This window comes from Homo sapiens, chromosome 3, assembly GCF_000001405.40.
Source record: "Homo sapiens chromosome 3, GRCh38.p14 Primary Assembly".
Classification (NCBI taxonomy): domain Eukaryota; kingdom Metazoa; phylum Chordata; class Mammalia; order Primates; family Hominidae; genus Homo; species Homo sapiens.
The window spans coordinates 52855140-52878763 of record NC_000003.12 but is presented as its reverse complement, the minus strand read 5'-3'; the positions used below and the strand labels follow the sequence as shown (position 1 = coordinate 52878763).

The following is a 23624-nucleotide window of genomic DNA, read 5'->3' as shown; positions in this document are numbered from 1 at the left end:
ACTTCTTTATGTAGCTTCATAACCAGCCAGCTTCTCTTGGTTGTAGGTGTGTGCCCTTGGAAAACCAGTGGAGATGTTTCTGTTCGATGCTATCAGAATAAAAATGCATTTAGGTAGGCTCACGAGACAATCAGGGAGAAAAGTCTTTGTCATCCAAAGGGACCAGGGAACAGAGATAGTGTAGCCAGGAATGTAGGGTTTCTACACAAGGAAACAAAACTAATACATCCAGGACCATAGGGTTCCTAGACCAGGGAGCAGAGGTGGTACAGCCGGGACCACAGGGTTCCTAGACCAGGGAATGAGGTGATACAGCCAGGACCATAGGATTCCTAAACCAGGCAAAGAGGTGATACAGCCTGGACCATAGGGTTCCTAGGCCCGGGAGCAGAGGTGGTACAGCCAGGACCATCAGACTTCTAGACCAGGGCATGAGGTGGTATAGCCTGGACCATAGGGTTCCTAGACCAGGGAACAGAGATGGTACAGCCTGTTGGTCACATGCGTGGTGTCTAGCATCAGACTGCGTAAATTTGGTCCCTTGCCTCTCATGACCACCAGGCCACATTATGGTAGTTTTTCCAGTGCTGTCTGACTTTATCTGTCTGAGACTGTTTCTTCTTCTCAAGATAGGGGAGGTGATTACCTGTCTTTTTTTTTTTTTTTTTTTAAGACGGAGTCTTGCTCTGTCGCCCAGGCTGGAGTGCAGTGGCGCGATCTCAGCTCACTGCAAGCTCCACCTCCCGGGTTCATGCTATTCTCCTGCCTCTGCCTCCCGAGTAGCTGGGACTACAGGCATGTGCCACCACACTGGCTAATTTTTTGTATTTTTAGTAGAGACAGGGTTTCACTGTGTTACCCAGGATGGTCTCGATCTCCTGACCTCGTGATCTGCCCGCCTTAGCCTCTCAAAGTGCTGGGATTACAGGCGTGAGCCACCACACCCGGCCAGTGATTACCTATCTTAATGGGTTATGAGAATTAAGTGAGATACAGTGCTTGGCACTGCCGGGTGCAGGGTGGGTGCTGAGTGTTAGCTCACTGAGGCCCACCATGGCTGACTGGCCGCCACGTCACACAACCCTGGGGAGGTAGGACAGTTCACACCATGTCATCAGTTATTAGAATTGGGAAAATACAGCTTAATCCAAGACTTCATGTACAGGTCGAACTGGAGGGATTGAATGGCTCACCGGAGACTTTCCAGCAGGTCAGAGGCTGAGCCAGGACTAGAACCCAGAATTCCTCTGTCCTAGGCCTCTGCCCTTTCCCCTCCAATGCCTACTCTTACTGCTGTTTCTGTGCCCCCTGCCATGGCACACATTTACTTATGCTCATTGGTTTGTCCAGGGAGTTTGTTCTAGACTATGGCATGAGAAAGGGAACTCTTCCCACCTACGAACTGACCTTCCTAACATTGTGCCACTTGGTCATGACAGCCCAAGAGCACAAGCCTGGAGCCGCAGCCAGTGGCAGGTGGCTGAGGCATGTGAAGGTGGAGGGATGTTGCACACTCTTGGTAAACATGGGCTTTCTTCCTTCCCTCTCCCAGCTTCAGGCTGGTCTGGCAGAGGCAGGCACTGGGTTGCCCAAAAGCGTGAGCTGTGTTAAAGAGTGATGGCAGAAGCAGCCACAGGCAGGGTGTGTCAGAGGAGACCTGTTATGGACTCAGCCAGTGTGGCCTGTGCCAGTGAACTTCAATGGCCATTCTCAGTTTTAACCTGCATTAAGACTTGAGTTGACTTTTTATCACAAGCCTTGAAATTTTGGACTATGTATATATTATAAATGTAGACACTAGCCACCTACCTTCAGTGTAGAATAACATTCTTGAATTGTTTTTCCACCCACAGTTGATCCTTGAACAGCGTGGGGGTTAGAGCAGTCAACACTCCACACAGTTGAAAACCCGCATATAACTTCTGACTCCCCAAAAACTTAACTGCTAATAGCCTAGTGTTGACTAGAAGCCTGACCCAATAACATAAACAGCCAATTAACACATATTTTATATATGTATTATATATGGTATTCTTACAATAAAATGAGAAAAAATGTTATTAAGAAATGTTAGTAAGAAAAATCATAAGGAAGAGAAAATGTATCTGCTATTCATTAAATGGAAGTGGATTATCATGAAAACTTGTGTTCGTAATGGTTTTCATCCTCTTGATCTTCAAATTGAAAGCCGAGGAGGAGGAGGATTCAGGGTTGGTCTTGCCGTGTCGGGTGGCAGAGATGGGAGAAAATCCGTGTATAAGTGGACCCATGCAGTTCAAACTCATGTTCTTCAAGGGCCAACTGTAGATTTAAGTGTTCTAAGCTAATTCTCTTTTAGAAGCCATTCTTGTTTTTCGATAATGCTGTCTGGGTTGCACATAAAGGCCCAAGTTTGATAAGCTTTGCGTTTTGTATCAAGGGACCAGGCTCCATCAGTCCTGATGCTGGTGCCTTGCTGTTCAGTGGTAGGTGAGGGTCAGCAGTGGCCTGGGTTCTGGTCCTGACCCTAGTGCTTGCTGCCTGTTGGACTTCAGCAAGTTCCTTAACTGCTCTGAGCATCAGTTTTGCCATCTGAAAATTAGGATGATTCTATCCACTTCCTAGGGTTGAGTGAGGAATGATGGAATTAATTTAGCTTAAGTGTCTAGGGCCACCAGTATTGCTGATGTTGATAACACCTTATGTGATGAGACTTTCTCAGATCTCCTCATGGGAACTCAGTTGAATGCATACTGGCTTTAGGGAGTAGAGGAGGCTGTCTTTGATGGTAAAGCAGGGTGCTGTTGGGGATCATGTCAGGTGAGCCTGTCCTTGCCAGCCACCCTCACACTGCTTCTCCAGGTGAGCTGGCTGCTCATGGGTACCTCTCAGTGCTCACAAGGGCTTCTGGATGAGGGAGGGGGCCGGCTGAGTGGCCCCTCCACCCCTGCTGGGGAATGGCATTTAAAGTATTTGACCTACAGATGTCAAGAGGGCAGGTGTAATCATCTTTATGAATGAAACCTACTGCACTGGGGGTTTATCCTAGTAAGTTGAGTGACCCAGTTAAGTGAATTGGCAACTTTGATGTCCTTTGGCTTCTGGACTTAACTCTTGACAGGTGGACCTCAAGACTCCCACCCTTTCCTTCCAGATTCAAAGAGTGAAAACAACATCAAAAGTACCCCTCTCCATACCCGTTATTCATTCTGTTCTCTGCCAAGTTGGGACCACTCTAAGCAGCTAGAATGGTGTGGGAGCCTTGGGTTACGGGGACAGAAATCTAACCTGCGATTTGCTGTGTGATGGGGCCACTGTGTGAGGGGGCCAGCAGGTGTCTCCTCTGACTAGGAGGCAGAGAGATTAATGTCTGTGCTGCTTGAGCTGAGGATGAGCTTCTGTGGTGGGGCTGGCCAGGGGCTACACGTGTTACCTCTGAGAAATGCAGACTCCACGGCCATGCCTTCTTCTAAGAATTTGACTAACCACAAGGTTGCAGTGAAGGTCAGTTCTTTGGGTAAAGAAAACTTTTTATAGTCAAGGTCCTCTTATCCAACACAAATTAGAACTATTTGTTAATTTTTAAGAGGTAGTGAAACTGGGGAATACAAAAAAGTAGAAACATACACAATGAACATTTTATTCCAGCTTATGCCTGTTAGCATACAGGAGCACAGGGACCTCCCATCTACCATAGATAACAGCGCAGCAGTGATCCTAGACCTCCTTGATGTGGGTTCAGTTGCAGACTAAAGTGGCGCATTTTCCGTCTCTCGTGAGTTCTGCCTGCTGGAAGCTTTTCTCTTAGAAGGAGATTTTCTAAATGAGTTGGGTTTGAGGAAGGTTTTTAATTATCTAATGTGCAAAATTGTAATTTAGTCATTTTTAATTTATTGTTTTTAGCAGCAGAGACCTTTATTTTATTTATCTATTATTATTTTTTGAGACAGAATCTCCCTCTGTCGCCCAGGCTGGAGTGCAGTGGCAAGATTTTGGCTCACTGCAACCTCCACCTCCCAGGTTCAAGCGATTCTGGTGTCTCAGCCTCACGAGTAGCCACCACGCCCAGCTAATTTTTTTATTTTCAGTAGAGACTGGGTTTCCCCATGTTGGCCAGGCTGGTCTCAAACTCCTGACCTCAAGTGATCCGCCCGGCTCAGCCTCCCAAAGTGCTGAGATTACAGGTGTGAGCTACCATGACCAGCCTCTTTTTTGTTGTTACTACAAAAGTAATACATTCTCACTGTAAGCAACTAAAACATTATGAAAAGACATAGCATAGAAAGTGAAAGTTCAGTTCACTGTAAGTCCATCCTCTAGAGAGCTAACCATGGTTAATAGTTTATTGTATATGCCTCTGAATTTCTGTGTGTGTGTGTATCTTTTGTTGATGTATAAAAATAGGTTCACATTACACATTGACCGTTTTAATGATTTGCTTTTTTCCCCCCATTTAGCATGAGGGTTTTTTCCATTTCAATGCAGATAGATCTACCTCACTTTTTAAATAGTTTTATTGAGGTATAATTTATGTACCATAAAACTCACGCATTGTAAGTATACTTCACAGTTGACATCCATTGCATAATCACATATGATCAACCCCTTCCCTATCGATGGACATTTAGCTGGTTTCTAAATCTTCCACTCTTAAAGACAATGCTGCAGTGAGTGCTCTTCTACACAGACTTGTGGGCATTTGTGGAGGTGTAACTATAGAGGAAAAGCTGAGTCACAGTTTATAAACATTTAAAATCGTGATAGATATGCCAAAATAACCTGACGCAACTTTTCATGTGTTTTGTGGACTGGTGGAAAACACACACACACATATCGTTGCCCGCTATGAGATTGAATGAAATTCCTGAATTTATTTGTCCAGGGAATTGGAGTTAGCAGTGTAGTGGTGATGCATGGCAGGAGCAGATGCAGCATTTCTCTGTGAGTTCCCCAGCTGCCCAGGATACTGGCTCACAGGGTAGGGTCCTTCCAGGACAGCCCCATTATTCTTGGGGCTTCCATCAGTATTCAGGAAGAACGTACACTAACAAGCCCTCATTAGCAAGTACTTACAGGTCCCCAGCGCCTCTTGGCTCTTAGGTCAAATTCTGCATCCTGGAAGCCTCATCCCTGCACCTCCCACCCCACCCCTAGGGCTCTTGGAGCAGCAACTCTGATATCTCTGCCTCTAGTGTCTGGTTCCCAGAAGGCTCAGTTAGTTCACTGAGGCTACCCTTGGTACCAGTTTAATGACTTCTTTAACCTGGGTGGTTCTGGAGCCGAGAATTGCAAATCCACTTCCCCACACTTACCAAGTGGTTGTACAACTCGCTTTTCTACCAGTGTTTTAAGAGTACCTGTTTCCTAATATCCTCACCAAATGTTTTAACCTTTGCTAATCTGGGCAAAAATCAATACTAATTTGCATCTTCAAAATTGCTGTTATTAAGGTTGCATATGTGTTTATCAGCAATTTGTATTTCTTTCCATCAAACAGAATCCCCCATGGAACACACATACAGTGATAATGCCCCCTCGCTCCTACTGCCATCATTATCTTAGCAGATGACACCACAGCCCTGCTCCTGGGGGAAGCAGTGGTTTCAAGGAGGCCTGTGTTCAGAGAATTTAGCATATTTATTTGCTAGACAATTTAGGGTGGTGGGGGGAGGTTGTTGCTTTTTGTTTTTGTTATTTATTTCTCAGCCTTCGGCCAAACCTCCATGGAGCAGGATTAAAGCTGGCTAAACTTAGAACCTGGGCTTCATCTGGTTCAGAAGAAATTAAGTCTTTACCAAAAAATGTTCATGAGCACTTAGACCAGATTATCAGCTTCTTGTTTTTAAGGTCAGATATGGTTGCCGGGCGTGGTGGCTCACACCTGTAGTCCCAACACTTTGGGAGGCCAAGGTGGGTGGATCACTGGAGGTCAGGAGTTTGAGACCAGCCTGGCCAACATGGTGAAACCCCATCTCTACTAAAAATACAAAAATTAGCTGGGTGTGGTGGTGCATGCCTGTAATCCCAGCTACTCAGGAGGCTGAGGTAGGAGAATCACTTGAACCCGGGAGGCGGAGGTTGCAATGAGCCGAGATTGTGCCATTGCACTCCAGCCTGGGCGACAGAGCGAGACTCCGTCTCAAAAAATAAAATTAAAAAAATAGATAATTAAAAATCAGGTCAGATATGGTGAGGGAGTCTTTGCCGAGCCAGTTCATCCTGACTTCCAGTTATTTACGAGGAAGAAAGTTTTGGAGTAGTTGGCCTCTGACAGTCTTGCGTACAGCTTACATCATCCATAACCAAAGCAGTTTAGTCCTTCCTGTTGTAGGACTAATAACTTGCAAACTGCTTCTGGGAGAACCCATCACAGAAATTCATGAAACTTGTTGAATTGACAGTAAACACCTGGACAGGACTCAGTAAATATGGCTTAAAAGTGACAGACTGAATGAATTCCTTTGTTCAACAAATACTGTTTAGCTACCTGTTTGGAGCCAGGCTCCCTCTAAGTGCTAGGAATACAGAGGTAAACAGAGCAGAAGGTCCTGGTCTTACAGAGCTTACTTTCTAGTAGGGAGAAGACAGTAGTAAGAAAATGTAAGAATTTCTGAGATTAATGCTATGAAGAAAACCAAGCAGGGAAATGAGACTGAGGGATGGGACAAGGTGGGACAAGCACACCCGTGGTTGAGGCAGTCAGAGGAGGCTTCCTGAGCGCTGAGACAGGAACAAAAAGAAGCCAGCCACTTGGTGACCCGGGAGAAGAGTGTTCCAGACGGAAGGTGCCGCATGAGCCAGAGGGGCAGGGGCAGGGTGGAACTTGTGGGTGCCGCATCAAGAGAAGCCCCATGTGAATATGTGGAGCCTAAGTCACATGGGACGTTGGCCAGAGAAGGAGCCTGCCGTTTCTTCTATCTGCCGTGGAAAGGCATGGGGGGGTTGTGTTTGTGTGTTTCAATTTTATGGAGGTATTGTTTACATGAAGTAAATTGCACAGATCTTAAATGTGAAGTTGGACTTTTGACAGATTTGTGTCATGGAAGTTTTGAGTGGAGGGTGACATAATTTTATTTATACTTTACAAAGACCCCACTGACAGCTGTGTGGAGGATGGGTGGATGGGTTGGTGGATGGATGAATGAATGAGTGAGTGAGTGAGTGAATAATAATCCCATCTTATTTAATGAAACATAGTGAGGCTCTGAGGCTTCTGCTCTGAGCCTCTTTTGTGGAAAAGAGTGACAGAAGGTGGCATTGGAAGCTGTCCCTGCCACAGGGGGAGGCTAGATGGTGGGGCAGGAGGAGTGGGTTTGGAATCCAGGGTCGTGTGCTGGCTAACTCCCACTAAGATGGGAGATGCCAGGGTTCTGCCGCAGGTGCTCCCACACAGATGAGGTGCTTGCTGACTGTCGTGAGCAGTCCGGCCTGGGTTCTGCTCCCCCGCTGCACCGAGCCCCCAGCATCCTCTCTGCCCAGGGTGTGAGTCCTGTGGCCTTCTTGACGGGACAGGCCTGTGGATGTTCGTCCACATGGTGTGATCCTTGAGGGTTGTTTAAAAAGGTCCCCCTTCAGAGATAGCTTTTCTGTCACCCTTTGTTTGGTACCTGAAATTCCAGCATGAAAATATCTTGGTTTTGAGCATATGAAACTATCACGAGTCACTATCCCATATGACAGGAGGTGGCGGTACTTGATTGAATTGCCTCCTAATGCAACGATGAAGGGAGCAGGATGTGGGGTAGGCAAGTGTGAAGGTTGCTGGGGAATTGGGCAAGATTCAGGACCTGCGGCACTCAGGTCCTGAGTGGGAAGCCTTGGGAGTGGTTGTGGGAGTGTCGAGAAGGTGCTGGAGGCTCCTCAGGCACCACCCGCCTTCCCCCAGACCTTCCAGTGAGAGGGGACACAATTACTTGGAGCACCTTAGTGACCCCTGACCTCAGCACTCTGCTGAGGTGGTCTCCCATCATCAGCTAAAAGCATGAGGTGTCCTGAGTCCTGCTCCCTGTCAATCCTGCCGTGTTTCCTGGGCACCTCCCAGGCGCCTGCCCTGCTGCTGGTGAGGCGGGAGAAGAAGACTCGCTTGACCAGCCTGAGGAGCACCTGCCACTCTGCCTCCCATGGGGCCACCCTGCCCGCGCAGCAGGACACCATGCATTCACTTCGCGTGGAGTCACTAGTGCCCTCACCCTGGGCAGAGGATGGCAGGCCTAGAACTTGAGAGTCTTGATGGCTTCGTGTTTCTCTCCTGTGGGCCCAGGTTGTCCCTGTTGCCACTCTCGTGTGCTCACCTCCCAGCACCAGCATTCAGCCTTTGGGCTGACAGAGGCCGACCAGCCTGGGGTAGCTTGATATCTCTTGGGTCCGTTCCCACGTGGGAAGCGCAGGCCAGATTTGGAACCACAACCGTGGTGATACAACCACCAGTGATCGTGGTTGTTTTCAGATGGTGACATTTTAGATGATTTTTCTCTTTCCCTGGTTTCCAAACTTACTGCAATGATTTATAATTTAAAAGAAAAAAAGAGGCCAGGTGTGGTGGCCCACACCTGTAATCCCAGCACTTTGGGAGGCCAAGGCAGGTGGATCACCTGAGGTCAGGAGTTCAGGACCAGCCTGGCCAACATGGTGAAACCCCGTCTCTACAAAAATTAACCGGGCATGATGTAATCCCAGCTACTCCGGAGGCTGAAGCCAGATGTGTGCTTTCTTGTTTCCTGCAGGTGGACTTCGTGCTTAAAGATTTACTCTTCCTCCAGCAGTTCCTCTAGCTGCTGCTTCTTGCTAGCATGTGCATGGTGCTTGCCAAGTACAAAGCATGGCTGTAATACTCTTAAGTATATTGTTTTATTAATACTCCTGTGAGCTGTATACTATAATTTCTTCCATCTTATAGAGTCCAGTTGAAGCCCAGAGATGTTAAGCAAGTCTCCCTGGTCCCACAGTCGGCTCTAAAGCCAGGTTTTGAACCCAGAGCTCATACTCGCAAACACTAAGCTCTGCCACCTTTGACTTGTGATGGGACACCAGTATGTTCTGCTCTGTTTGTTCAGTTTAGTAGTTAAGTGCCTACTTCATTCCAGGTACTGGCCTGGGTGCCAAGGGTATAAATATGAATAAGATAAGGTCTCTGTATCCCTCCTTAACTAATTGTCTAGTGGGAGACAGGCAGATGCTTAGTATTGCATATGAAGTGTTGTCCAAAGATGTGCATAAGAGACTTTGGGGACCCAGGAGAAGGGAGGGCACTTGGTTCAATTGCAGGGAGCTAAGCAAGATGTCTTAGAGCAGTGGGAACAATCTGGAAGAATGCCTAAGAACTATCCAAGAGAAGAAATGGAGGGCCCCTCCCACGCCAAGGGGACAGTATGAGTGACAGCACTAAGGTGGGAGATGCCAGGCCATCAGGGCCCTTTTTTGCCAACTTACAAAGCCTGTATTATGTCCTCTGATGTTGGGGATGTGGGGCTGGCACTGGAGGGTTTTAGGCCAGGAGCAGCGTGCTCAGTTCACTCTGGTCCAGTGTCGGGGTGGATTCAGGCGAGAGGACTGGAGTCAGGAGGACTTGCTAAGGCAAAGGGATGGCCTTGATTCTGGGAGTTTTTTGAGCACCAGACCAGCGCCTTTTCTCCCAACTTGAGGGATCAGTTGGATGATTTTCTCACTGGATGATTATAGTCAGTTTTGTATTCCCCTCAAGATGGCAGGGGAAATGTGGGCTTTGGATTCAGGTAGACTTAGATGCAACTCTTGGTGGTGCCATTTTGGCAATGGCAAACCCCATGACCTTATCTGTAAAATAGAGATGATACTTTGCCGGGTTGTCAGAAAGATTAGAAGCAATGATATAACGTTCCTGAGGTGTGGCCAGGTGCATTGGCTCACACCTGTAATCTCAGCACTTTGGGAGGCCAAGGCAGGCGGATCACTTATGGTCAGGAATTCGAGACCATCCTAGACAACACGGTAAAACCTTGTCTACCAAAAATACAGAATTAGCCAGGCATGGTGGCGCGTGCCTGTAATCCCAGCTACTCAGGAGGCTGAGGCAGGAGAATCACGTGAACCCAGGAGGCGGAGGTTTCAGTGAGCTGAGATCTCGCCACTGCACTCCAGCCTGAGCGACAAGAGCAAAACACTGTCTCAAAAAATAAAATAATAAAATAATCAAGTTCCTGACGTGAGTACTCAATAGGTGGTGACAGCATGACAGCCATAACGGCAGCTGCTCTTCTCCCCACAGTGAACCCATGAAGTGGACAACTGAAGAAACAGACTCTGAAAAGTTAAGTGACTGGCTTAAAATCATAAAATTTTGGATAAAGCTGGAACTAGATTTCAAGCTGTTCCTGACTTGACTGCCCTTAGTTCCCTGCCATAAGAATCACCTGGACCTCCATTTCTCCTTAAAAAGTGGCCTGACCTGGATTTAGAGTTCTGCTAGGGTAGAACTGAGTCACATGGCCACACCAGCAGCAGGGGAGGCTGGGAAATATAGTCTTTAAGTTGCCTGACCAAGGGGCTTCTCTTAGCAAGGAAGAATGAGAGAATGGATTTGGGAAGCAGCCAGCAGGCTACCTCAGTGACTTCTGGGGACTTTTTCCCTGGGCGTCTCTGGGTTTTTAGCCCTACTACAGGGCATTGAGGAGGTTTGAGTGGGGCCTGGTTGTTGGGATGTTCGTTTATCACTTAGGGAAGGTGCAGAAACACTTCTGGGTTTTTCCTTGACTGCTGGTTCCCTCCAGCAGATAGATTTGCTCACCCCTCAGGACAGTTTCTGCCATTTGGAGCACTGGAGACCTGGTCAAGAATTGTGGAGAGGGGGCCTGGGCTCCATAGGACCAGCCAGGCATGGCTTGAGGTCACTGGCCTGACCAGTGCTGGTTAGAGAAAGGCTTGGCCCGGGTGACTTGGCTTTCTTTGCGGCTCCTCTACTAACTGCTGGGGTGATTCTGGACAAGTCAATTCCCCTACCATTTTCCACACCCTACCCTGGAGGGGGTTGGACACTCAAGGACCCTTCTGGCTCTGAATGGGAGCCACACTGCGTAGTTTATGAGCTGATATTCAGCTGGAGGTGGCGCTGCTTGCCACTTGCCCAGGGGAAGAGTCCGCTGCCTCAGCACTCGCCTGTGTTGCAGGAGGCACTGGCCCGTGAGACAGCTTGAGAAATGAGGCCATCAGGGAGTGGTCCTGTTCAGCAACATGCCATGGGGCAGAGGGCTCCAAAACTATGGGTGTGTTTCTGCCTCCGGGTCATTGGAAGGTGGGAGTATTTTTCCCCAGGGATGAACAAGAAAGCATACAGGCTTATGGCGTATGAGCTCATGGCTTCCAGAGCACCCCATTCCTGAGAGTTGGGAAACCTGCTCATGCACTGAGGTCCAACGTCTCACACAAGGACCAGCGGTTTTGTGTCCCAGGACTTCCTGCTGTCTGTGAGGGAGAGTGATCCAAAGCATCTTACATTTCTACTTTTGGAAAGTCATAAGCTAAAATGGCCACTGGGAGGCCTGTGATGATCCTCCTGCTTTAAGGTTACACTGTAGATGTAACAATACAAATATTTAACTGAATTGCCTCGGTGGATTTTCATGGCAAAGAGCAGCTTTGTGCCAAGAGCCCTGCCAGGTTCATGAGCCTCTTCCTGTTCTGTATCCTCAGCAGGGGGTGATTTTCCACCCATGTTTTGCTGGTCTGAAAAATGCCATCTGGTAAGAGGGATGCAAGGGACTGTACCACCTGGTAGCCAGGGCTGCAGCCGGGAGACCCCGGCTTCCCTGTCTTTATGCAGCCACACGCCTTTCCCTGCACCTGACAGGAGCCCACCACATTCCCCCTATCCCTGCATCTCTTGGGCTGCACCTCCCTTAAATTGAGTGTTTAATCTCAAGACAGTTGTGCTTTTTGACTCAGTTTCTAAATAGGGCTGCAGCTGCTACCTGGAAATTATATCCCTTCCAACGCCTGTGTTTTTTGACTTGTTACTCTACCACTCTGTGACATCAAGTGTAAAATTCCAACTTCCTTCTGCTAGTCAGTGGGTCCACGTGGAGCGCCAGCCCAGATCGGGCTCTGAGGAGGACAGTCGAGCTGGGTGCCTGGTCCCCGCCCTCCACATGCCAAGTGAGAGTGGCGTGTGGAAAACCAAACAACATAGCGTTAAGTGAGCAGTCGGTGACCTGGGTGCTGTGTGAAGTCGACAGGTAGAGTTGAGTCATCCATAATTGCTGTCCTATTGTGTGGCACCAGTAGCACTGCCCAAACTTCTGGGAGAGTGAGCACCACCACACCCTGGTATCCTCAGGGGAGGGCGTGAGCATGGGGAAAAGGAGGGGCTCTGGGCTCATGTCCGAGAGGAGAGAGCAGGTGAGATGGGGTGGGACTGGGAGCCCTGCCAGGCCCCTCAAGGCGGTAGACGGTGGCAAGCCCCGCAGGTGCCCTGGCACCCAAGTGGCCTGATGGGTGCACGCCGCAGCCGTGCTGAGACAGCCTCTTCAGCGATCAAATTGTCAGAGTGAGAAGGTTTGCTAGTACACCATGCTGGCAAGAATGTGGGAATGGGTACTCGTGCTATTAGTGGGAGTGTGAGTTGGCACAGCCTCTGTGGAGAGCGGCGCCACAGAATAAGCCGCACATAGCTTTTGATGTAGCAAGTGTGCCTCTAGGAATCTGCCCCTCAGATATGGGCCCACACAGGCAGAGGTAGCACATGGCAGGGACATTCGCGGCAGCAGCTCATAGAGTAAATGAGATGGCACAGCCACACTGTGGGATGCCATGTAGCCTCTAATGAAAGAAAATGGAGCCATGTGTACAGTAGGTGAGAGCAGGAAGGTTAGACAACGTGTAAAGCATGTGACGGTTTGTGTCCCCCCACCGCCCCTACACACACACACACAGATCTGTGCATCTGTGTGGTTGTCCAGCATGTCTTTGAAAGGATATGTAAGGTCTTGGGGACAGTAGTTGGCCCTGAGAAGGGAAACAGAGGGACTGGGATGTCAGCCAGAAGGGAGACTTTTCACTGAATATATTTTGTACTGATAATGGTTTGGCTCTGTGTCCCCACCCAAATCTCACCTTGAATTGTACTCCCATAATTCCCACGTTGGGGTGGGGGGACCTGATAGGAGACAATTTGAATCATGGGGGCAGTTTCCCCCACATTGTTCTTGTGGTAGTGAATAAGTCTCATGAGATCTGATGGGTTTATCAGGGGTTTCTGCTTTTGCATTTTCCTCATGTTTTCTTGCCGCCGCCATATAAAAAGTGCCTTTTGCCTCCCACCATGATTCTGAGGCCTCCCCAGCCATGTGGAACTATAAGTCCAATTAAATCTTTTTCTTCCCAGTCTTGGATGCATCTTTATCATACTGTAAATTGGTACCAGTAGAGTGGGGCATTGCTGAAAAGATACCCAAAAATGTGGAAGCAACTTTGAAACTGGGTATCAGGCAGAAGTTGGAACAGTTTGGAGGGTGCAGAAGAAAGGAAAATGTGGGAAAGTTTGGAACTCTCTAGAGACTTGTTGAATGGCAGTCGGGCACCGTGGCTCACGCTTGTAATCCCAGCACTTTGGGAGGCCAAGGCGGGTGGATCACAAGGTCAGGAGTTCAAGACCAGCCTGGCCAAGATAGTGAAACCCCATCTCTACTAAAAATACAAAAATTAGCTGGGCATGGTGGCAGGCGCCTGTAGTCCCAGCTACTCAGGAGGCTGAGGCAAGAGAATTGCTTGAACCCGGGAGGCAGAGGTTGCAGTGAGCCGAGATCACGCCACTACACTCCAGCCTAGGTGACAGAGCAAGACTCCATCTCAAAAAAAAAAAAGAAAAGAGAGAGACTTGTTGAGTGCCTTTGCCCAAAATGCTGATAGTGATGTAGACAAGGTCCAGGCTGAGGTGGTCTCAGATGGAGATGAGGAACTTGTTGGGAACTGGAGCAAAGGTGATTCTTGTTATGTTTTAGCAAAGAGACTGGTGGCACTTTGCCCCTGCCCTAGAGATCTGTGGAACTTTGAACTTGAGAGACATGATTTAGGGTATCTGGAGGAAGAAATTTCTAAGCAGCAAGGCATTCAAGAGGTGACTTGGGTGCTGTTAAAGGCATTCAGTCTTGTAAGGGAAGCAGAGCATAATCAAAGTTTGGAAAATTTGCAGCCTGACAGTGTGATAGAAAAGAAAAACCCATTTTCTGAGAAATAAAAGCTGGCTGCAGAAATTTGCATAAGTAACAAGGAGCCAAATTTAATCCCCAAGATCATGGGGAAAATGTCTCCAGGGCATGTCAGAGGTCTTCACAGCAGCACCTCCCATCACAGGCCTAGGAGAAAATGGTTTCGTGGGTCAGGTCCCTGTGCTATATGCAGCCTAGGAACTTGGTGCCGTGCATCCCAGCCGCTCCAGCCATGGCTGAAAGGGGTCAATGTAGAGCTCAGGCTGTGGCTTCAGAGGGTGCAGGCTCCAAACTGTGGCAGCTTCCACATAATGTTGAGCCTGCGAGTGCACAGAAGTCAAGAATTGGAGTTTGGGAACCTCCGCCTAGATTTCAGAACATGTATGGAAATATCTGGATGCCCAGGCAGAAGTTTGCTGCAGGGGTGGGGCTCTCATGGAGAATCTCTGCTAGGGCAATGTGGAAGGGAGATGTGAGGTCGGAGCCCCCACACGGAGTCCCCACTGGGGTACCGCCTAGTGGAGCTGTGAGAAGAGGGCCACTGTCCTCTAGACCCCAGAATGGTAGATCCACCAACAGCTTGCGCTGTTAGCCTGGAAAACCTGCAGACACTCAACGCCAGCGCATCAAAGCAGCCGGGAGGGAGGCTGTACCCTGCAAAGCCACAGGGGTGGAGCTGCCCAAGACTGTGGGAACCTACCTCTTGAATCAGCATGACCTGGATGTGAGACCTAGAATCAAAGGAGATCATTTTGGAGCTTTAAAATTTGACTGCCCAGCTGGATTTCGGACTTGCATGGGCCCTGTAACCACTTTGTTTTGGCCAATTTCTCCCATTTGGAGTGGCTGTATTTACCCAATACCTGTACTCCTGTTGTATCTAGGAAGTAACTAGCTTGCTTTTGATTTTACAGGCTCATAGGTGGAAGCAACTTGCCTTGTCTCAGATGAGACTTTGGACTGTCGACTTTTAGGTTAATGTTGAAATGAGTTAAGACTTTTGGGGGACTGTTAAGATGGCATAATTGATTTTGAAATGTGAGGACATGAGATTTGAAGGGCCAGTGGCAGAATGATGTGGTTTGGCTCTGTGTCCCCACCCAAATCTCACCTTGAATTGTACTCCCATAATTCCCACATGTTGCGGGAGGGACCTGGTGGGAGATAATTTGAATCATGGGGGTGGTTTCCCCCATACTGTTCCTGTGGTAGTGAATAAGTCTCACAAGATCTGATGATTTTATCAGAGGTTTCCATTTTTTCATCTTCCTCATTTTCTCTTGCCACCACCATGTAAGAAGTGCCTTTTGCCTCCCGCCATGATTCTGAGGCCTCCCCAGCCATGTGGAACTGTAAGTCCAATTAAACCTCTTTTTCTTCCCAGTCTCGGGTATGTCTTTATCAGCAGCGGACTAATACATGTACTCTGAATTTCATTGAAAGAAAAAGAGAAAAGAATCTTTATTAGTTTGCTAGAGATGCCATAACAAATAATCACAAACTTCTTGGCCTAAAACAGCAGAAATGTTTTCTCACTGTTCTGAGGCCCCAAGTCCAGAGTCAAGGTGTGGGCAGCGGCCACACTCCCTCCAGCAGCTCTGGGAGAGGACCCTTTTTTGCCTCTTTCAGCTTCTGGTGGCTCCAGGATTCCTTGGCATGTGGCTGCATAACTCCATTCTCTGCTTCCATCTTCACAGGTCCTTCTTCTCTTCCCCTTCTGTCTCTATTCCTCCATCTCTCCTCCATCTCTCATAAGGATACTTGTAATGGGATTTAGAGCCCACCAGATTAGTCCAGAATGATCTCATCTCATGATCTTTAATTACATCTGCCAAGACCTTTTCTCCAAATAAGGCTGCATTTGCAGGTATCAGGGGTTGTGGGACATACCACGTAGGACACCACCATTCAGCCATTATCATTGCCAACTAGATTTTGAGGGGAAAACTCACCTATATGCTTCTTACACTTAAATATAAAATTGAAAGAAGAGAGATTGAAAAAAATACCATACAACACTACTAAAATAATATACTCTTTGAATTTTATATACTCTCCATATATTCACCTTTTCCAAAAGATGTACTTTGATTCTAAGATGAGGCAAGTTTTTAGGCAAGTTAGATGGTACACAGCATAACTAGACTGAAAGCCCCTTGAGGGCAAGGACCATGTCTGTATTGTCCATTACTGTATCCCCAGCACAGAGTAAGTGCTCAGTGCTGGTGGAGTGGATGGGTGGGTGGATAGGAAAGGCAGTTGAAGAGATCGGAGCAGGGAAGCCTGTTAGGAGGCAGTCTCATCAGCACAGGAAAGCAGTCCTGAGGGGCTGGGTTAGCTTGCCAGTAGAAATGGGGAAAGGGGCATATGCAGAAGACTTTTCAGTTACAACTTGGCAGGGGAGATTGACAGCTGAGTGGGAAGGAAGGAGGAGAGTAAGGAGCCCCAGGGTGAGGACACTTCCATTCTATGCAGAAATGGCAGAGCTGGGCAGGACTAGCAGAGTGGGCAGGAGACAACTTGGCTATGAGGGACCCAGCAGACTGGGCCAGCCTGCAGTTGGAGCATCACTGGGAGGCCAGGGCTGGAGGGAGAGGCTGGCAAGCCCTCGGCATAGGAGCCCTGAGAGGGGAACTTCTCCCCAGGAGTCAAGAGGAAGAAGGGGAGGCTGTGTAGGGAGGACAGAACCACGGGAGATAGAGGAGAACATTCAGAGCATTGAGAGGATGGCAGGGAGGTGAGCAGGATTGGAGAATCATAGAAGCCTCCTAGGATTGGGCCCCTTTGCTGCCTGGATGGCCAAAGGAGGGATTGGTATGGAGGGTTGCAGCTGGCAGACCCAAGGTCTCACGCTTCACAGAAACCAGGACAGGGATGGCTCAGCCCCGGGAGTGGGGAAAACGGACACACAGAGGAAAGGGAAGACAGGGTGCAGGGTGGGGACTCCACAGTGAGGCATGCTCTCCTGAGCACATGTTCATCACTGACATTTCCATCTGTCTTCTCATTTAATCCTGGAGACAACGTGCCTAGCCGGTCATAGCAGCCCCCCACCTTCCTCTTTTTTGTGATATACAAAAGTCACATAGCTAGATAGTAGCAGAGACAGGATTCAAAGCCACATCTGTCTGACTGTGCCCAGGCTGTTGACCACTCCTCCTTTTCAGGGCTGATGAGACCCATGCCTGTCTTCAGGACACCTGTACACAAAAGGCCGCGAGTCTGCTTAGGAGCCTGCTGTGGCTTGGGGACAATTGGTGCATCTCATCACAGAAGCAATGGAATGGGACCTGTGTGCAGAGGCAGTGCCGCTGAGTGCTGCAGGCCTCAGTCTCCACCTTCCCCTTCTCCCCTCTCTCTGTTCAGTAGGGCTCTTGCAGGAATCACTCCATCAGCCTTGGCTTCCAGCTCTGTGTTCGGGAACCTGACCTGCACTTGAGGTGTGGCTGCTACCCTCCATCAGCCTCCGCCTCAGGGGTGTGTGGGGATGAGGATGTGTTAGAAAGGGTGGCTTATGCTTTCCTGGCTCTGGCTCCATCTGAGCAAGTCCCCTCCATCCTGCAAAGCACCACTAATGAAGAAAGGTCTGTGGTCCTAGGACCCTGCCTGAGCCACTCTGAGCATGGTGTGGCTTCTGCAGGAGCAGCTGCCAGGCCCACGCAGGGCACAACTGTTTCCGTGGGACAGGGTGCCTGGCTTACTGTCTGTGAGGTACACAGAGACCCCTCCTTGTTTGTTGCCTGGAGATAAGTACCCCCGCCACCACGTGGAACAGTGTAAACTCCCACCTCCCGAGTCAGCCCCAGCCATCCTTTCTTCCACACCCCACGTCCACTGTCAGCAGAGCCTTCAGCTCAACATTTAAGACCCAACCGGAATCTGACCTCTTCTCCCCTCTCCTATTGCCCCGGTCAGTGCCAGCATGTGGTCCTAGTTACTGCGGGGGGTGAATGGGAGTGGGTGGTTGTCTCTAGTGGGCTCCCTGCTGCCATACCATCCCTGTGGGCTGCTCTCAGCACAGCAGCTGGAGGGAGCCTGCTGGGCTGTGGCTACAGCTGCCTGGCCACCACACACAGGCCCACGTGGAGCTCTTAGCCTGGGTTCTCGGTGGAGGTCCAGCTGCCTCTCCCGCACGCCCTGCTGTTCTGCCTGCTGTCCTCCAGCCCTCTGCCTGGACGGCTCTTCCCGAGACCCTCGTGACTTGGCCTGCACCTTCCTCGGGCGTGGGCTCTCCTTCATACCTCCTCATTGACAGTTCAGACCCCACGTGCCAGCCCTCTTCTCTCTTCACCTGCCTCTGTGTTTACCTCCATGCTTGGCACTGTCTGCCATGCTCCATATGTTATTCCTCTCCCTACTAGGGTGTGATGAAGGCAAGGGTTTTGTGCATTTCATCTCCTGCTGAATGGGGCTTGTCACACAGCAGGCCCCTCAATAACATATGATGGTAGATGAATGAATTTTTCTGTTTTTTTTTTTTTACCCCCTTTACCAAATTTGACTGGGAGAAGCTCTCTTAGTATTTCCTCTTCCTTTAAAAAAAAAAAAAAAAAGAATCTGGACTGTTCTAGGGAAAGGGGATAGGAGGTGGAGAGGAAGGAGGCAGGAGCCCCACAGCCCCACACTTCTGCTCTGATTCAGAAGAATTTGATTCCATTCTGAACTTGATCAAAGGTGCTCCTATATGTGGCTGTCTCAGGGCACCCACAGGCACGGGCACACCATTCTCCTCCATTCCTTGTCTGAAGCCCAGCTGTAGGTCACGCTGATTCTCCCACATCCCACTTTGCTACATTGGCTCAAATCTCTGAGATAGGTTTGTCTTTTCTTTCGTAAATTCTGAAATAAAAGCAATGTGAATTCCTTGATCCATAATTCCTTTAATCAAAAGTAGCCCTTGGATTTTTTTCTTTTTTTCTCTCTTTTTTTTTTGAATCAGGGTTTCACTTTGTTCCCCAGGGTAGAGTACAGTGGCACTCTTAAACTTAAATAATCCCTTCCCGCCTCAGTCTCCCAAGTAGCTGGGACTACGGGTACATACCATCATGCCCAGCAAAAAAAAAAAAAAAAAAAAAATTTTTTTTTTTTTTTTTTTTTTTTTTTTTGGAGAAATGGGTCTTGCTTTGTTGCTCAGGCTGGTCTCAAACTCCTGGCCTCAGGCGATCTTCATGCCTTGGCCTCCCAAAGTGCTGGGATTACAGGTTTGAGCCATCACACCCAGCATAGCCTTTGTTAATAGTCACTTATGTATTCTTCTAGGAAAAAATAATACATAATACCAGCATAAATGTATATCCATTCAAAGTGGACATGAACAGAATCATGGTAGGCATATTATTCTAGAATTTATTAATATAATTTGAAAATCTTCTATATTAGCCCATATAGATCTACCTCATTGTTTTTTATTTTATTTTATTTTATTTTATTTATTTTATTTTTTTTGAGATGGAGTCTCGCTCTTGTCGCCCAGGCTGGAGTGCAGTGGTGCAATCTTGGCTCACTGCAACCTCCACCTCCCAGGTTCAAGTGATTCTCCTGCCTCTGCCTCCCAAATAGCTGGGATTACAGGCACGCGCCACCACACCCAGCTAAGTTTTTTTGTATTTTTAGTAGAGATGGGGTTTTGCCTTGTTGACCAGGCTGGTCTTGAACTCCTGACCTCAGGTGATCTGCCCACCTCGGCCTCCCTAAGTGCTGGGATTACAGGTGTGAGCCACCACGCCTGGCCTACCTTGTCGTTTTTAGCAACTGCTTAGTATTGTATTGAACGTATGTACTGTGTCATATGGACCTAACCCCATACCGACAGGCATCAGTTTCAGTTACGACAGTATTGCAGTGAATATTCCTATACATCCTGACACACCTGCAATAATACTTGTATAGCATGTATCTGGCAGTGCATTCATTGCAGATTAAAGGAGTATGGGCATTTAAAATTTTGATAGATATTGCCAAGTTGACCTTTGTTTTTTGTTTCTTTAAATTTTTTTGAGACAGTCTTTCCCAGGCTGGAATGCAGTGATGCGATAGCTCACTGCAGCCTCAACCTCCTGGGCTCAACCAATCCTCCCAACTCAGCCTCCCCGAGTAGCTAGGACCACAGCCATGCGTCAAGACACTTAGCTTATTTTGTTTGTTTTTTGTAAGGATGGAGTCTCACGGTGTTGCCCGGGCTGGTCTCAAACTCCTGGGCTCAAGCAATCCACTCCTTAAGTTTGGATTACAGGTGTGAGCCACTGCACCCAGCCCATGTTGACCTTTGAATGGTTACACTAGTTCATTCTTCTGGGATGTTTTTCCTCAAACTTTTTATTTCAAAAAATATTAAACTTACAGAAAAGCCTAAATAATAGTGTAATGAATAGCCAAATATCTTTCATCTAGGTTCACCAGTATTGTCATGCTACATGTTTTCGTTTGCTCAGGCTGCCATAACCAAATATCACAGACTGGGTGGCTTAAACAATAGACACTTATTTTCTCACAGTTTCTGGAAGCTGGAAGACCGCAATGAAGGTGTCAGCAGGTTGGATTTCCTCCAAGGCCTCTCTCCTTGGCTTGCAGATGACGCTCTTCTCAGTGTTCTTGCATGGTCTTTTCTTGCTGCACTCACACATCTGTGTCCTAATCTCCTCCTCTTATAAGGATTCCAGTCATTGGATTAGGGCCCGCCAAAAAGCTCTCATTAAACCTTAATTACCCCTTCAAAGGCCTGGTCTCCAAATAGTCTCGCTCTGAGGTGCTGTGGGTTTGGACTTCAACAGATGACTTTGGAGGTGGGGGCACAATTCAGCCTATAACACCACATTTGCTTCTCTTTCTCTCTCTCTCTCTATATATAATAATAATATAATTATAAGATTTATTATATAATTTGTTGTATTACTTATAATTATAAAACCATTTATAATGTAATACATTTATTATACATAATTATAATGTATAATATATTCCCCCAAACCACTCAGAAGTAAATTGCAGCCACTCTGTTACTTCAGCATGCATCGCCTAGGAACAAGGACATGCCCCTCAAGATATATTTGATGTCCTTTATTTTACAGTGATGGGGACAGATTCCCCTGAAGCAGAAGGAGAAATGAGCATGCAGTGGCTCTGGCCCTGACTGGGGGCGTTCCCTCCAAACAGTTTTGTCCTGGCCTAGTTTTCTCATGTCTCCTTCCTGAGTTCCAGCCCCCAAGTGAGACCTGGCATGCTTAAGGGAAGGGGCCTCCTGCTTCCAAGAGCTGTTCAGGCAAGCAGAACCTCTTGGCCTCAACTCCATATTCTCTGGCGTTGTTGAGGTTTGGGATCTGTGATGTGTCAAAGAGATGACAGACCTCCTCACAACTTCACCTGCTCGTTGATCTCTCTCTCTCAACATGTCTCTCTAAACAGACTTGTAACTGCAATTCTTTGTATAGGCAGTCCTTGCCTGGCAAATGCAGACTGCCTTTGTTTGTTCAGAGAGTAGGGTTTACTGTCTTGGCTACCATTTTCTCCTTCCCTGTCTCCCTTCTCCTCCTGCACCCTCGCTGGCAGCTCAGGACTCTGCCAGAAGTTGGTTCTTGCCCACCACCAGGAGTAACAAGGCATCTTCTGTGGGCTTGCAACAGCATCTGTTTCTTCCTTGGTACTTTTCTGTGGGAAAGTATCACACAGGCAGCACTTTCAGTGTTTGTTTTAGTAGATAGAATCATTGTGGAAGTACTTGCCTAGCACCTCAGTGGAGGATACGTAGCTTCAAAACTTTTCATTTCCTCTTGTTCAGGCCATCGTGTCTACAGACCCAAGGTTCAGACGTAAATCGGGCAAGTTCTTTGCTATCCAAGACCAATCAGGTTGTTGCTGAATGAGTGCCCAGACATCCACTGTCTGCTCAATTAACAGAGCTTTTCTTTTCTTTTCTTTTCTTTTTTTTGAGGTAGAGTCTCGCTCTGTTGCCCAGACAGGAGTGCAATGGTGCAGTCTTGGCTCACTGCAGCCTCAACCTCCTGGGCTCAAGTGACCCTCCCACCTCAGCTTCCAGAGTAGCTAGAACCAGAGGTGTGCGCCACCACACACAGCTACTTTTTAAAAAATATTTTGTAGAGACGTGGTCTCACTCTGTTACCCAGGCTGGTCTCGAACTCCCGGGCTCAAGCAATCCTCACGCCTCAGCTTTGCAAAGTGCTGGGATTACAGGCATGAGCCACCACACCCGGCCATAGAGCTGCCTTTCTAAAACTTAGTCCCAACATGTCTTTGACTTTGCTTAGAACTCTTCCCTGGCTTTTCGTTTCCTGCAGGATTCATTCTAGTTTCCTTGGCCCAGCATTCAAGACCCTCCCTCATTTGGCCCCTGCTCAATTTGTCACCCTGCTACCTGCCGCTCCTCCAGGAGGTTCTCTTGTTACCTATTGTGTTAAAGCCAAATTAAATGAGGCCAGACACACTCTGCCATGCTTTGTCCCTGTACCTGTTGGCTTGTGATATTTCCCAGAATGTATCTTTTCTCCCCTCCCTGATCCATTTGCCAAATTCTTACCCAGCCTTCAGGGCTTGGCTTGACCGTCCCCCATCAGTAAAGTCTCTTCTTCACTGGAAGATGGAAGATACACAAACACTTCGGTCCCCACTGTGGGGTTGGCCATCCTTCCCTTGTGCCATCGTTCTGCGACAGACTTCACTCTTCTCTAGCACGTGTCACACCGTATGTGATATGTACGTGTCTAGCCCCCTGGTTGCAAGACAACTGGTTTTACCTTTGTATCCTTAGTGCCTGGGTTGGAGTAGGCACTCAGTAAACGTTTGAGTTGATGATGGATTTGTCCTTGGATAGAGCACATCCTGAAGTTAGAAGCAGCTGCGTTCCGCTTTGTCATTACCAATCCTTATCTGAGTGAGCCTTGTGTGTCACAAAGGGAAAAATACAGTTTTCCACATGCTATGAGGAGTCCTTCTCCCTAAGTGTCCAGTTCTAAAGAGTCCATACCAATCATCGGCAACACAGGACCTCAGTGACCTTCGCAGGGCTTACTGTATGTTGTTACATGTTAAAAGAGTGTGTGTATTACCTTGGTTATACACACAGTGAGTAGACTGATAACCCAGCTTGTTATGTGCATCTTGCTTTATGTAACTTCTTTGGAAAACTACTGATGTCTGTCTTTTCTTTCAGTCAAACGCTTCAGAGAACCAAAGCATGAAAGACGTCCGTGGAGGATATGGTATGTGTTTAGGTATTAGTTCATTCTGGAGTGCTTTTGACTATGTTGGGGGTCTTGGGGCTGGGGGTGGGGTATGGTGTTGGAGTGGGGAGGGCATGGAATGTGAGAAATGATACATAATATAATGTATGTGGAATCCCTGAATTAAATTCATTAGGAACTGTGTATATTATGAAAGCATTTTTGTTTCTCCAGGTAACTTTTGATCCTACCTTTATTTTAGAATCACTCTGCTTCCACTTCTAGAAGATGGAAG

General features: G+C 48.0%; 2 protein-coding genes across 2 annotated transcripts in view, besides 1 other annotated feature; both read left to right on the top strand.

Moving 5' to 3' along the window:
* Positions 1-23624, top strand: part of STIMATE-MUSTN1 (STIMATE-MUSTN1 readthrough) — a 64428-nt gene that overhangs the window by 18785 nt on the left and 22019 nt on the right. The window contains exon 2 of the mRNA NM_001198974.3: positions 23320-23368. Within this exon, the coding sequence (NP_001185903.2) occupies positions 23320-23368 (49 nt within the window). The remainder of the gene's footprint in view (positions 1-23319; positions 23369-23624) is intronic.
* STIMATE (STIM activating enhancer) overlaps positions 1-23624 on the top strand; it is a 60816-nt gene that overhangs the window by 18785 nt on the left and 18407 nt on the right. Inside the window, exon 2 of the mRNA NM_198563.5 lies at positions 23320-23368. Coding sequence (NP_940965.1) covers positions 23320-23368 — 49 coding nt within the window. The remainder of the gene's footprint in view (positions 1-23319; positions 23369-23624) is intronic.
* Positions 5951-6221: a silencer, noted in NCBI's record as "fragment chr3:52906559-52906829 (GRCh37/hg19 assembly coordinates)". NCBI's record gives its function as "represses an EF-1alpha promoter that drives an FKBP-Casp9 reporter gene in an ReSE screen in K562 erythroleukemia cells {active_cell/tissue: K562}" and the evidence as "EXISTENCE:reporter gene assay evidence [ECO:0000049][PMID:32094911]".